Raw genomic sequence first — 14,540 nt, 5'->3', positions numbered from 1 at the left:
CTGAGGCCTTCGTCCTGAGGGTAGCCAGTCTTATTCTAAGTAATTATGTCATCAACATGACTAGTGTCTGCTTTATACTGCAGCTCTTAGAGACCTTCAAGATATATGGAAATTCACTTGTATTCTAGAAAACTTGAGTCTAAAATTTTTGCAAGGAAATATTTCAAATCTACGTATGGCAGGAAGAATAAGTGATGAAAGCTTCTAGTGGCTGGATTTAAATGTCAGCTCAGTCATTATACTCTTGGGTTTTTCAAAAATCTAACCTTGAGGTTGAATATCGTGATGTCTATCTGGTCATCTTGTGGTTTTCTATAGGTGCAATCTCGGCTTATTGCAACCTTCGCCTCCTGGGTTCAAGTGACTCTCCTGCCTCAGCCTCCTCAGTAGCTGGGATTGCAGGCACCTGCCACCAAGCCCAGCTAATTTTTGTATTTTTAGTAGAGATGGTGTTTCACCATGTTGGCCAGGCTTGTCTCAAACTCCTGACCTCAGGTCATCTGCCTGCCTCGGCCTCCCAAAGTGTTGGGATTACAGGCATGAGACACCGTGCCCGGCACCTGTTCTAGAATTCTGCCACACAGACTTAAAAGGTAGCTTTCTAAATCCTTTGGTTAGGTCTTACAGATAAGACTCTGATGTAGGGAAAGAACCACACCTACCTTATGTAGAGGGTCTGGCATTTCTAGAGTAATAGGGTCAAAAGCTCAAATTGTCTCATCAAAAGCCTTCTTTGGACCTTCTTTTAAGGATCCAAGGCATTCTGCTAAATAGTTTTAGATTCAAAATTCTGTGTGACTTTATCAAGTTGCATTGTATATCATAACTAAATCTCACGTACCATGCTTTTTAATGGCATTTTTAAAAATGGCCACTTAAATGACTTCCTGACCCTGAATGACACCTACCCCCGACCCATGTCTAGGAATTACATCCTAATCCCTAGAGCCTGTGAATATTAGTTTTACATGGCAACATGGACTCTGCAGATGTGACTAAGGGTCTTGACATGGTAAGATCATCCCGGTGGGCCCAATCACAAGTGTCCCTATAAAACAAGAAGGTCAGCAGGGCACGGTGGCTCATGCCGGTGATCCCAGCACTTTGGGAGGCTGAGGCATGTGGATCACCTGAGGTCAGGAGTGCGAGACCAGCCTGGCCAACATGGTGAAACACCATCTCTACTAAAAATACAAAAAATTAGCCGGGCATGGTGGCGGGCGCCTGTAATCCCAGATACATGGGAGGCTGAGGCAGGAGAATTGCTTGAACTCGGGAGTTGGAGGTTGCAGTGAGCCGAGATTGCGACATTGCACTCCAGCCTGAGCAAGAAGAGTGAAACTCTGTCTCAAAATAAAAACAAGGTCAGAATAGGATGTATCAATGGAAGCAGAAATTGGAATGATAGAGAGTCACAGAAAACACAGGCCGCCTCTAGTAGGGGAACAAGAAAATATCTTCCCATAGAGCCTCTAGAAAGAGTACAGCTCTGCTGTACCACTTTAGACTTCTGACCTCCAGAATTGTGAGATAGCTTAACGGCATGAAACAAACTTGTTACAGCAACAATAGGAAATTAAAATACTGAGTCACTACCCACAACTTGAAAAACATGGCTTAAAAGTGCACATTTTACAGATGAGCAACTTGAGCCCTAAAGAAGCTTGTCCAGGATGTCACAGCCCCTTGATTTCAGAGCTAGAGCCTCTCAGCTGCAAGTTGGTCCACTTGTATAGAGTCATATTGGGAATCAAAGTCCCCTGGGTCTCAAGGCAGCCCACAGCGTGACTTGGTTCTGATGTGTTTGCCAAAAATGCTAAAGCAGAACTTTGAGAGTGGAAAGCCAAGCTGGTGTGGAGCAGCTGCCGGGATGAACACTTGTTGCCATGGTAGCCTGGGAGCAGTTGACTAAAGTCGTGTTCTTGCCTTCTGAAAGTAGGCATCCTACTATATATGGGGGAGGCAGCCTCCTCAGACAGGAACTGTGTGGGAAGAGAGTCGAGCTTAAATCCTGAGAGACTGCTGCTTCAACCACGTTAGTGTGCTTGCAATCTCCTTTATCACGTAGTGATGGGCTGTAATTGTCATACAGGTGTCAAGAGTAGAATGATGGAGCTTTGGGGTTCTAATAGTTTGAGCAGTTCTGATTGATGGTGGAGGTTGCAGGAGTTGAAAACAGACTTGTGTGCCCTGGGAAGGCACCTGTAATGTAATGTACTACTTTCCCCTGCCCTGTTCTGCATTAGGAAGTTCTGTGGGATGCGCAGGCTCTAGAGCAAGAGTTGGGTTTGGGTTCGGGATCTACGTCTCCCTGGCTGTGTGGCCTCGGGCAGATAGAACAATCTCTGAGCCTGCTTCCGCATCTGTAAAAAGGGAACACAACCTAATTTGGAAGCGTGTGAGGGTTCAACAAGATAACCGTTGTATTGATGTAGGCACTGCCCAGTCAGCATTGGAGTATCTCAACATCAAGAAAATAGCACTGTTCTAACTCTAAATAAAAACTCAGATAACATTATGGACAATAACTGTGACTTGAATAAGTCTGTGTGCTATATACCAAGGCATATGTAATCAAGTGCATATGTGGTAGAATGTACACCTGATTGTACAGACCTCTGGCCTAGACACCATCTACCAAACTAAAATCTTTAGGGAGACACCACCTACAAAACTAGACACTATCAGCTGGGCATGGTGGCTCACTCCTGTAATCCCAGCACTTTGGGAGGCTGAGGCAGGCGGATCACCTGAGGTCAGGAGTTTGAGACCAGCCTGGTCAACATGGTGAAACACCGTTTCTACTAAAAATACAAAAAATTAGGTGGGCATGGTGGCAGGTGCCTGTAATCCCAGCTATTTGGGAGGTTGAGGCAGGAGAATCACGAACCCAGGAGGTGGAAGTTGTAGTTAGCCAAGATTATGCCACTGCACTCCAGCCTGGACGACAGAGGTAGACTCCATTTCAAAACAAAACAAAAAACAAAAACTTAGACACCATCTACTAAACTAGAATCTTTAGGGAGTGGAGTCTAAGCATGTTTAGGCTCTATAGGAGGCTAAATCATGGCCCCAAAGATATTCACGTGCTAACCTCTGGGACTTGTGAATTTTCCCTAATATGGCAAAAGGGACTTTGCAGTCATAATTAAGGTAAAACGGTGAGATGGGGAAATTATCTAAATTATCCAGGTAGGCCATACATATAACTGCATGTGTGCTTGTAAGAGGGAGTTTTGACTATGGGGAGAAAGCAGTACAATGATGGAAGCAGAGGTTGGAGTGATGCACTTTGAGATGGAGAAAGGGCTATAAGCCATGGGATACAGGGGAACACTAGAGGCTGGAAAATGCAAGGAAATGGATCCTCCCCTAGATCCTCCAGAAGGAACCAGCTCCACCGACACCTTGGCTTTAGTCCAGTGAAAGTGATTTCAAACTTCTGACCTTCAGAATTGTAGCAGAATAAATCTATGTTGTTTTAACCCACTAAACTTGTAATAATTTGTCTAAGCAGTGAAAGAAAACTAATCCATGCTCCTCAGATGACTCTGACACATATCCCTGGATAGAAATCACTGTGCTAGTGAAGGCAGAGCCTACCACACTTCATCACAGACAACACATTACAAACACACACTGTTGCTTGCACATAGGATCTAAAAGCATGGGGAGCAGTTTATAGCTTCAGGAACTTGGCACTTAAGTTGCAACTAGTTCCATTTCCAAACAGTGATGTATCGTAGTTGAAAGAAGAGGCATTGCTGAGAATACAGGTCCTGAGACAGGGGTGAGAAAAGAAAAGAACTTTGATCTGAGAAATATAAGTCCTTCTAAACTATCAGGGCCAGAGACAGTAAGATGAGATAGTCAGCTGGGTGCCGTGGGTCACACCTGTAATCCCAACACTTCGGGAGGCCAAGGTGGGCAGATCACGAGGTCAAGAGATCGAGACCATCCTGACAACATGGTGAAACCCTGTCTCTACTAAAAATACAAAAATTAGCTGGGCATGGTGGCGCACACCTGTAGTCCCAGCTACTCAGGAGGCTGAGACAGGAGAATTGCTTGAACCTGGGAGGCAGAGGTTGCAGTGAGCCAAGATCATGTCACTGCACTCCAGCCTGGCAACAGAGTGAGACTCCATCTCAAAAGAAAAAAAAAAAGGAAAAAAGATGAGACAGTCATCACATCCTACTCCTCCCTTGAGCTAAGTATCCATCTCTTGAAACTGCTTACTATTGCCACAAGTAGCTTTAAGTTAACCTAATAATGCTGCACCAGACATATAACCACACCCTATAGCTTAACAATGTATAGCCAATCACACATCAATGTTATTTCTGAAAAACAATGAGAATTCCTGACAAAGAACTGTGCATCAGCTCACTCCCTGTCCCCCCTTTTTTGCCTTTAGAAATCCACTTGTAAATGCTGCTAATAGGAGTCTATAACTCATGTCAACTTGAATCCATGCTCCGGGGTTGCAATCCTCAAACTTGGCCCCAAAAAACTCTCTACTTTTAATTCTGCCTCAGTTTCTCCCTTTTAAGTCAACAGGGAATTTAGTTTCTCTCCCATTGGATGCAAAGATGTGAATTACCTCTGATAGTGCCCACCACTGTGTCAATAACCAGAAAATCCACAGCACAACATTGCTTCTGGTTTGAAAGTGATGATGTGTTGAGTGGGAAGCTGTCTCATCGTGGGCAGCACAGGGGTTGCGGAAAGGTAGAACATGCAGCCTGTGGCACAAGGTGTGTGCTCAGGCTTATTCTCGGTGTTGTGGGCTCAATTGTGTCCCCCCACAACAAGTTCACATGAAGTTCTTACCCCCAGTGTATATGTTTTTGAAGTCCTTACCCCCAGTGTGATATATTTGGAGGTGGGGCTTTGGGAATTAATTAAGTCATGAGGATGGTGCCCTCATAAAGGGGATAAGTGCCCTTAAAGGAAGAGAAAGGAGAGTGAGCTTCCTCTCTCTGCTCTCGGCCATGTGAGGATACCGCAAGATGACCATCTGCACAGCAGGAAGCAGTCCCTTCCTCTGAATTGTCTGTTTATAGCCTTTGTTTAATTTATACTAGATTTTAAAAGTCCTTTTCCTATTGATTTTTAGGGTTTCTTTATATATTCTGAATGCTGATCCATGACTGTTCGATTACAGGAACTCTATGAATACGTCACAGAAACAGGTCAAAAAATACCCTCATATGATGACATCCACAGACACGAAGAAGGCATTCACTGGAACCTGAGATTCACACATGATAGAAAGCCCTTTGAAAATTAGGATGAGAAGCATGATAATCGTATCTCTTTTAAAGCAAGGTGCACATCAGACTTGCAGAGGAAATAGAAGTATGCTCGCTGAATTGGAGGACTGAATTGTGTGACCCGCAAATCGATATGTTGAAGTCCCAACATCAGAATCTCAAAATATGGCTGGAGGAAGGGTCTTTAAAGAGATAATTGTGGCTAAGTGCAGCAGCTCACGCCTGTAATCCCAGCACTTTGGGAGGCTGAGGTGAGTGGATCACCTGAGGTCAGGAGTTCGAGACCAGCCTGGCCAACGTGGTGAAACCCTGTCTCTACTAAAAAAAAAAAAAAAAAAAAAAACTAGCCGGGCATGGTGGTGCAGGCCTGTAGTCCCAGCTACTCAGGAGGCTGAGGCAGGAGAATCACTTGAACCTGGGAGATGGAGGTTGCAGTGAGCCAAGATCACGCCACTGCACCCCAGTCTGGGCAACAGAGTGAGACTCTGCCTAAAAAAAAAAAAAAAAAAAAAAAGAGGTAATTGCATTAACATGAGTTAATAGGATGAGCCCTAGTCCAATAGGATTGCTATCCTTATAAGAAGAGGAAATTCAGACACAGGCAGAAGACACAGGGAGAAGACAGCTCTCTACAGGCCAAGGAGAAACCAAGCCTGCTTGGCATCTTGATCTTAGACTCCCAGCTTCCAGGATTGTGAGAAAATAAATGTCTGTTGTGTAAGCCACCCAGTTTGTGGTACTTTCTATGGCAGCCTTAGCAAATGAATACATATGGTCCTCATTATAGCAAGTTCCATCTGCTAAGTCTAGGGACTGCAGTGTGGGTGCTGGGCTGTTAGGCAGCATTGGTTACTTTTCCTTATCTCAAGAGTATGAACCCCTGACTGAGATTCCAGATTTAACTAAATCCTCCTTGGTCCTGACCTTTGCTCACACAGCACATGAAGACCCTTACTTTGTGAATAAATACAGCGAAAACACAAGTGTACTGGGGCAGATAGTGTAGGGCTTAATTAAAAGGGATTTTCTTGCCCTTTCTTTTTCCTTCCCACCTCATCCCCTTCTTCCTTGCTAAGAGAACCTGGACTTTGTTTGCACAGCACACCCTGGGGGACAATCCTGCTTGGCATGAGATAGCCAAGATAACGTCCCATTTCCCTTCTGTTTAGAGGTGAGCATGTAATACAGTTCTGTTCAATGAGATTTAAGGGGAAGTTGAGAGGGGGCTTCTTTTTCCTTATTTAAAAAAAGGTATGTGCAGCTAACCCCTTTTCTACCTGCTTTTGGATATGATTATGTGATGTGATTCCCGGAGCTATGGCAGCCATGTTGTAACTATGAGGAAATAACCCTAAAGACACCCTGAGAACGATGGAGCGAAAAAATGGAAAGCCTAAATCCTTGATAACTTCATTGTGTTCCCCAAATCAACCCTAGAACCACTTGCCTCTGCATTTCATGTTTAGTGAGAGTTTAGGAGCTCTTATTTTTTAAGGGAGGCATTTTTCATCTAAACTGATTCAAGCTAAGAAACTTCATTCTTAGGAGAAAGTCTATGGCTATAATTTGCATTCATAAAAACATACCAAGTTATATGTAAGCTTTTCTTTGGATGACTTGCCAAATTTGTACTAACCAAAAATAAGAGGGACTTCACTAACAAATCTATTTTACTTTGGCTCCCTCAGGCCCAAAAGAATTGGAGTCTGCTTGTGTTCATCTTTGAATTTCTATTGGTACTTCTGCAAGGGAAGTAACTTGACCAAAAATAGAGTATAAAGAAGCTTGATTCAAAGCAGATAGTATAGTCTCTTACTCCTCACCCACACTTAGGGATCCTCTTCCCTGAATCCTGTTTCAGGGTCAGAGGGGCAGGGAAGATGCTATGAAGTGAGCACCAGCTGTAGGAGTCATGGGTTCTAGCCCCAGCACTGCAGTCTTTCTGTTTGGCCTCTAGTAAGCAGTCTAAACTCCCTGGGCCTCAGGTCCACCATCTATGGGAGAGGGTGGGAGAAGTTATCTATTACCTTGCTACTCAAGGTGTGGCCGGTGGAAGGCTTCATCTGGTGGCTGATAAGCAATGCAGGAACTCAGGTCCTGATGCAGACCTACAGACTCAGAATCTGCCTTATTTATTTATTTATTGACAGAGTCTCACTCTCGTCACCCAGGCTGGAGTGCAATGGCGCAATCTTGGCTCACTGCAACCTCCGCCTCCCCGGTTCAAGCAAGTCTCCTGCCTCAGCCTCCTGAGTAGCTGGGATTACAAGTGTGAGCCACCGCACCCGGCCAGAATCTGGCCTTTTTTTTTTTTTTTTTTTTCTTTTGAGACGGAGTCTTGCTCTGTCACCTGTCGCCCAGGCTGGAGTGCAGTGGCGCGATCTCAGCTCACTACAAGCTCCGCCTCCCGGGTTCACGCCATTCTCCTGCCTCAGCCTCCCGTGTAGCTGGTACTACAGGCGCCCGCCACCACACCCGGCTAATTTTTTTTTTTTGTATTGTTAGTAGAGACGGGGTTTCACTGTGTTAGCCAGGATGGTCTGGATCTCCTGACCTCGTGATCCGCCCGCGAATTTGGCTTTTAACAGGCTCCTATGCATAGGCTCATTCAAGTTCAAGGATCGCGCGTTGAATGCTTCTTCCAGCCCTCGGTGCTATTGAAGTCTCGGCTGAGCCAGCTTCGGATGGCCTGGATGTGCGCTCCCTCTACTGGCTCAGAGATGAAACGCTTTCATTAGGAAACAGTTGCGTTTCCTTCTGATGGTTTTTCTAAGGTTTCCAGCTGGGGATTGAAACTCCAGCACGGGAGCTCCTAACAGGGGCATAGAGACTCCTAGAGCATGTGGCTGGGGCTTGAGTCTCCTCCTGAGTTTTGGAAACATGAACAAACAATGTGTGCTGCTGGAGGCCCATACACGGAGCATGTCCTCTCCAGCCTGGAGGTCCATACACGGAGCATGCCCTCTGCAGTGTATGGACCCCCTGGATGGCTGACTCCCAACTGCCATGGGACACTGTAGTCCATCTTCCGAACGTTTCGTCGTTGTCACTTCTGCTTTAACAAAAAAGGCAGCAGAAGGGGGAGGAAAGGATCTGCACGTGGGCTAGGAGGCCGATAACCGGGTTCTGTGGCTTAGTCATTTGCTGACTCTGAGAACTTCCACAGGTGACTCATCCATTAACCCTGCTTTCCTCTTCCATCAGCTGAAGAGTAGGGGATGGGAATGAGAGCAGAATAACGTCTCTGGACTGTTATGAAAGGTAAGGATGGTAACTGATACGAAAACTCTTTGACAACCTGAACCATTTCACAACTGTGAACTTGTGTGTTTCCATGATGCCACGATTGCCACTGGTCACTCTGGGGCAGACCTGGTCAATTTTGACCCCCTCTCCACCAGCTGTGCTCTTGCTTGGCCTAATTCTCTTAATTCTTATTATTTGTTGAGGTTAGGGTTTGTCAAGACTGGCACTGTTGACATTTGGGCCCAGATAATTCTTGGTTGTGGAGGCCTGTCCTGGGCTTGGTAAAATGTTGAGCAGCATCCTTGGCCCCTACTCATTACATGCCAGCAGCACCCAACACAGGCACGCATATCGTGATAACAAAAAATGCCTCTAGCACTTTGGGACGCCAAGGCAGGAGAATCACTTGAGCCCAGGAGTTTGATACCAGCCCTGGCAACACAGTGAGACCCCATCTCTACTGAAAAAAAAAAAAAAAAAAAAAAAAAGCTAGGCATGGCGCCACACATCTGTAGTTCCTGCTATGCAGGAGGCTGAGACAGGAGCATCATTTGAGCTTGGGAGGTCAAGAGAGCTGTGGTTGACACTGCACTCCAGTTTGGGCGACCAAGCAAGACCCTGTCTCAAACAAAAAAAATGCCTCCAGGCATTGCCAAATGTCCCCTGGGGGTGCTGGTTGAGGGTTGGGGCGGGGGGCGGGGGCGGGGAACAATCACTCCCAACTGAGAACTGCTGATCTAGATTTATTTATTTAGTTAGTTAGTTTTATTTTTGAGACGGGGTCTCACTTTGTCATCCAGGCCGGAGTGCAATGGCATGATCTTGACTCACTGCAACCTTTGCCTCCTGGGTTCAAGCGAACCCTCTTGCCTCAACCTCCCGAGTAGCTGGGATTACGGGTGCCCGCCAGCATGTCCAGCTAACAATATTTGTATTTTTAGTGGAGACAGGGTTTCACTATGTTGGCCAGGCTGGTCTTGAACTCCTGACCTCAGGTGATCCACCCGCCTCAGTCTCCCAAAGTGCTGGGATTACAGGCATGAGCCACTGCACCCAGCCTAGGATGTCTTTTGCAGTTAGACAAACTGCAGTTAGAATCCCACTTCTAATTCTATGGGCCCTTAGGCAATTTAACTTGTCAATCTTTCGGTTTCCTTATCTCTAAAATGGGAGGTAGTGAGGACGCACTGGAAACATGTATTGCTGTGTATTGGGCTTAAAATAGCCCCCCGCAGCCAGGCGCAGTGGCTCACGCCTGTAATCCTAGCACTTTAGGAGGCTGAGGCGGGAGGATCACTTGAGCTCAGGAGCTCAAAACCAACCTGGGCAACATGGTGAAACCCTGTCTCTACAAAAAATACAAAAATTAGCTGAGTATGATGGTGGGCACCAGTGGTCCCAGCTACTCGGGAGGCTAAGGTGGGAGGATTATCTGAGCCTGGGAGGTCGAGGCTGCAGTGAGCTATGATCATGTCACTGCACTCCAGCTTGGGTGACAGAATGAGACCCTGTCTCAAAAAAAAAAAAAATAGCATCCAGCACATGGCGAATGCTCAAAAATAAACAAACAAGAAACCTGGACATACTGATAAATTAACATTATAACTGTAAAAAAGTCATCGTTTTTATGCTCTGGGGATTAATTACCTTTCCAATCGGCCACACATTGAGCTGTGTGTCTAAAAGGCTAAGGATATCTTTGTAAGGACCTTAGCCCGAAGTCCTTAACGGTCCTCCACAGCTTGGTTAACAACAGGTCTTTTACATCTTCCTGTTTCACTCAGTTTTAAATGACTCATGTAGCCATGCATTTTGACAACTTTTCTTTGTTTTTTTTTTTGGAGACAAGGTCTCATTGTTCCCCAGTGTGGAGTGCAGTGGTGCCATCGTAGCTCACTGCAGCCTTGACCTCTTGGGCTCAAGTGATCCTCCTGCCTAAGTCCCTCAGTAGCTGGGACCACAGGCATGTAACACTATCCCCAGCTAATTTTTTCATTTTTGTAGAGGCGAGGTTTCATTATGTTGCCCAGGCTGCTCTTGAACTCCTGGGCTGAAGTGATTCTCTCGCCTTGGCCTCCCAAAGTGCTGAGATGACAGGCACGAGCCACTGAGCCTCGTCCTTGACAATTATTCTTGATGGGCTTGTTTGGTGTCAGCCACTGTGCTAGGGTTCTGCACCTTATTTCACTTCATTTGATCGGTGAAGGTTAGGCCCAGACCATGTAAAGAACAGAACCTGAATGAATAACCTCACTGCACAGCCTTGATTTAGATGTCACATTTCTTAGCTGAATTGGGTGAGTCCTTTGAACTTTAGTTTTCTCTCTCATATCCAGAGGCCGATGGCATATAAAGAAGTAGCAGGAAGCAGAAGCTTGGATTGATCTTTTTTTTTTTTTTTGAGAGGGAGTCTCCCTCTGTCACCCAGGCTGGAGTGCAGTGGCGTGATCTTGGCTCAGTGTAGCCTTCGCCTCCCAGGTTCCAGCGATTCTCCTGCCTCAGCCTTCCGGGTAGCTGGGATTATAGGCATGTGCCACCATGCCCAGCTAATTTTTGTATTTTTAGCAGAGACGGGGATTCACTGTGTTGGCCAGGTCTCAAACTCCTGACCTCAGGTGATCCACCTGCCTCGGCCTCCCAAAGTGCTATGATTACAGGTGTAAATCATTGTGCCCAGCTGGGATTGGTCTTTGATCATGGATTGATCCATGAGGGGAAAGAGTTAGCACTTCTAAGTGCTGTGGGAAAGCACTTTGCCCTTGGCAGAGGTTGGAGTAAGGTGTTTATGTGATCAGAACTATGCTATGAAATGATCTCCTGGCTACTCTCTGGGAGAGCATCCCAAATGAAGGCTGTGTAAAGCTCTCAGCACCAAAAATACTCCCCAGCCCAAACGTACCCTCTAAGCCAGCTGTCTACTTGACACATCCTCTTAGTATCCAAGAGGCATATCTGACTTAATATGAGCAAAGCAGGGGTTGAATTTTCACACAGCCCCCATTGAGACACAGACAAGGATACCCCAAAGTCTGTTACTTTGGCATGCAGAGCACTTCTGAGTTAAAGGAAAATGAAAGGCCTTAGAAACTGCTTCAGAACCAAGGATTTTCTAACCTTCTCTTGTTTCTGCCATCTTGAGTGCAGGGAGGGGCTCTGTATTAGTCTGTTCTCAGGCTGCTGTGAAGAAATATCTGGCACTGGGTAGTTTATAAAGGAAGAGGTTTAACTGACTCACAGTTCCACATGGCTGGGGAGGCCTCAGGAAACTTACAATCAAGGCGGAAGGCACCTCTTCATAGGGCGGCAGGAGAGAATGAGTGCCCAGTGAAGGGGGAAGTCCCTTGTAAAACCATCAAATCTCATGAGAACTGACTCACTATCAGGAGAACAGGATGCGAGAAACCACCCCCCATGATTCAATTATATCCACCTGGTCCCACCCACAACACATGGTGATTATGGGAACTATAATTCAAGATGAGATTTGGGTGGGGACGCAGCCTAACCATATCAGGCTTTCTCTGGAAGTTCCCTTATCTGACCGAGGAAAATTTCTTCCAAAAGAAATGCAATTGTCTTAATTTCTGTGAATATGCAAAGTGATTCCCAAATGCTGAGGGAGCCGAGGAACCAAAGAAGGAGGCAGACAGATCCATTGTGTTGACTTTGGGTGATTCATTGAAGGAACTTACAGACACAAGTGTGGTCTTAGGTGGTGGCAGGACAGGTAGCTCTCTGCACTGTTACTCCCCACACCAGGGCTACGCATATACCATAGGGAAAGGGTATGCTTGCTCCAGCAAGCCAATTAAAGGCAACCCTTCAGGACAGGCAAGAATGCTGAATGTATCATAGCCTATAATTTGTGTGATGACATCAAGGTCAACATGTTCTTACACTAGGAACAGTGAAGTAGGAATCAGGAGGCATTCATGGGACTGGGGTTAATCAGAAGTCAACGTGGTGGATTAGCATCCAAAATAACCAGAAAAAATTAACCACTGCAGAAGAGACTAAAAGTTGTCACCATGCTCGGGCTTTTCATCTATTTTGCCGAGAGTAATTCTGAGAGATTACCTAAAAGACTTAATCTGCATAATAAGACTACCTTTGTTTGCAGTGCAGTTCTGCCCCTCACCTTCCCATAACTTGTCCCATTCAGTTTCTAAAGAAAATAATTTACAAACTATTGTCTGCTTTTTTTTTTTAACTTTCATTTTAGTTCCAGGAGTACATGTGGAGGTTTGTTACATGGGTAAATTGCATGTCACAGGGGTTTGGTGTACAGATTATCATTCAGGTAATAAGCATAGTACCCAATAGTTTTTTTTATCTTCACTCTCCTCCCACCCTCCACCTCCATGTAGGCCCCAATGTCTGTTGGTCCCATCTTTATTTCCATATGTACCCAATGTTTAGCTCCCACTTATATGTGAGAACATATGGTGTTTGGTTTTCTGTTCCTGCATTAGTTCACTTAGGATAATGGCTTCTAGCTGTATCCATGTTGCTGCAAAGGACACAATCTCATTCGTTTTTATAACTGTGTAGTATTCTGTGATGTATATGGCACCACATTTTCTTTATCCACCATTGACGGACATTTTTTGATTCCATTTTTGCTATTGTGATAGTGCTTTCCACAGTGACTGAACTAATTTACTTTCCCACCAGCAATGTGTAAGCATTCCCTTTTCTCCACAAACTCGCCAGCATCTGTTATTTTTTGACTTTTTAGTAATAGCCATTCTGACTGGTTTCAGATGGTATCTCATTGTGGTTTGCTCTTTGGGTCCATTCAATTCCCCTAAAAATCATTTACAATCCTTCAAGTTGCCTACATTTCCCCCATCTCCCTCTATGTAAGTTTCAATCATTTGGCCTTTCTTTGAGTCTCATATTTTTGGAACTCCTGTGTTCATGTGCATGTTAATAAATTTGAATATGCCTTTTCTCCTGTTCATCTGTCTATTGCCAGTTCATTTCAGGGATCCTTCAGAGGGTAGAGAGGAAGCTTGTCCTTCACTCCTACAATAGTGTCACTATCCACTACTGGCTCAAGCTAAAAACCTAGGTGCCACCTTGTGTCCCCCTTTCCTTCTCCATCATCACCAAGTGCTGCTGGCCCTCAAAATGAGGAAGGTCTCCATTACATTTGCCCTAATTTTTTTTTTTTTTTTTTTTTTTTGAGAGAGAGTCTCGCTCTGTCGCCTAGGCTGGAGTACAGTGGTGCGATCTCAGATCACTGCAATCTCCACCTCCCAGGTTCAAGTGATTTGCCTGCTTCAGCCTCCTGAGTAGCTGGAATTACAGGTGCCCGCCATCACACCCAGCTAATTTTTGTATTTTTAGTAGAGACGGGGTTTCACCATGTTGGCCAGGCTGGTCTTGAACTCCTGACCCCAAGTGATCCTTGGCCGCCCAAAGTGCTGGGATTACAGGCATGAGCCACTGTGCTCAGCCTAGTGTAAGTTTTAAGTCACAATTATCCTCTCTGCTCTTGGGCCTCCATAGACCTCCCAACTAGCCTTCCTGCTTTAAATCCATTGGCCATGGAGTGATCTTTAAAAACCCAAGTCTGATCACGTCACTCTCCCATGTAAGATTCTTCATTGTCTTTCCTTTGCTCTTTGGCATAAACCAGTGGTCCTCAACCTTTTTGGCACCAGGGACAAGTTTTGTGGAAGACAATTTTTCCATGGATGAGGCGTGGGTAGGGGGGTGGTTTCAGGATGATTCAAGTGCATTCCATTTATCGTGCAGCTTATTTCTATTATGATTACATTGTAATACATAATGAAATAATTACACAACTTACCATAATGTAGAATCAGTGGGAGCCCTGAGCTTGTTTTCCTACAACTAGACAATCCCAACTGGGGGTGACGGGAGACAGTGACAGATCATCAGGCATTAGATTCTCATAAGGATCATGCAACCTAGATCCCTTGCATGTGCAGTTCACATGAGGGTTCATGTTCCTATGAGAATCTAATGCCACTGCTGATCTGACAGGAG

General features: G+C 45.4%; 3 annotated features.

Moving 5' to 3' along the window:
• Positions 1,681-1,830: an enhancer, noted in NCBI's record as "active region_10551". NCBI's record gives its function as "activates an Ori minimal core promoter by ATAC-STARR-seq in GM12878 lymphoblastoid cells {active_cell/tissue: GM12878}" and the evidence as "EXISTENCE:reporter gene assay evidence [ECO:0000049][PMID:35858748]".
• Positions 7,655-7,724: an enhancer, noted in NCBI's record as "active region_10550". NCBI's record gives its function as "activates an Ori minimal core promoter by ATAC-STARR-seq in GM12878 lymphoblastoid cells {active_cell/tissue: GM12878}" and the evidence as "EXISTENCE:reporter gene assay evidence [ECO:0000049][PMID:35858748]".
• Positions 7,775-7,864: an enhancer, noted in NCBI's record as "active region_10549". NCBI's record gives its function as "activates an Ori minimal core promoter by ATAC-STARR-seq in GM12878 lymphoblastoid cells {active_cell/tissue: GM12878}" and the evidence as "EXISTENCE:reporter gene assay evidence [ECO:0000049][PMID:35858748]".

Source organism: Homo sapiens, chromosome 16 (genome assembly GCF_000001405.40).
Source record: "Homo sapiens chromosome 16, GRCh38.p14 Primary Assembly".
NCBI lineage: Eukaryota > Metazoa > Chordata > Mammalia > Primates > Hominidae > Homo > Homo sapiens.
Note: the sequence above shows the minus strand (reverse complement) of the source record. Positions and strands in the feature narration are given on the sequence as shown.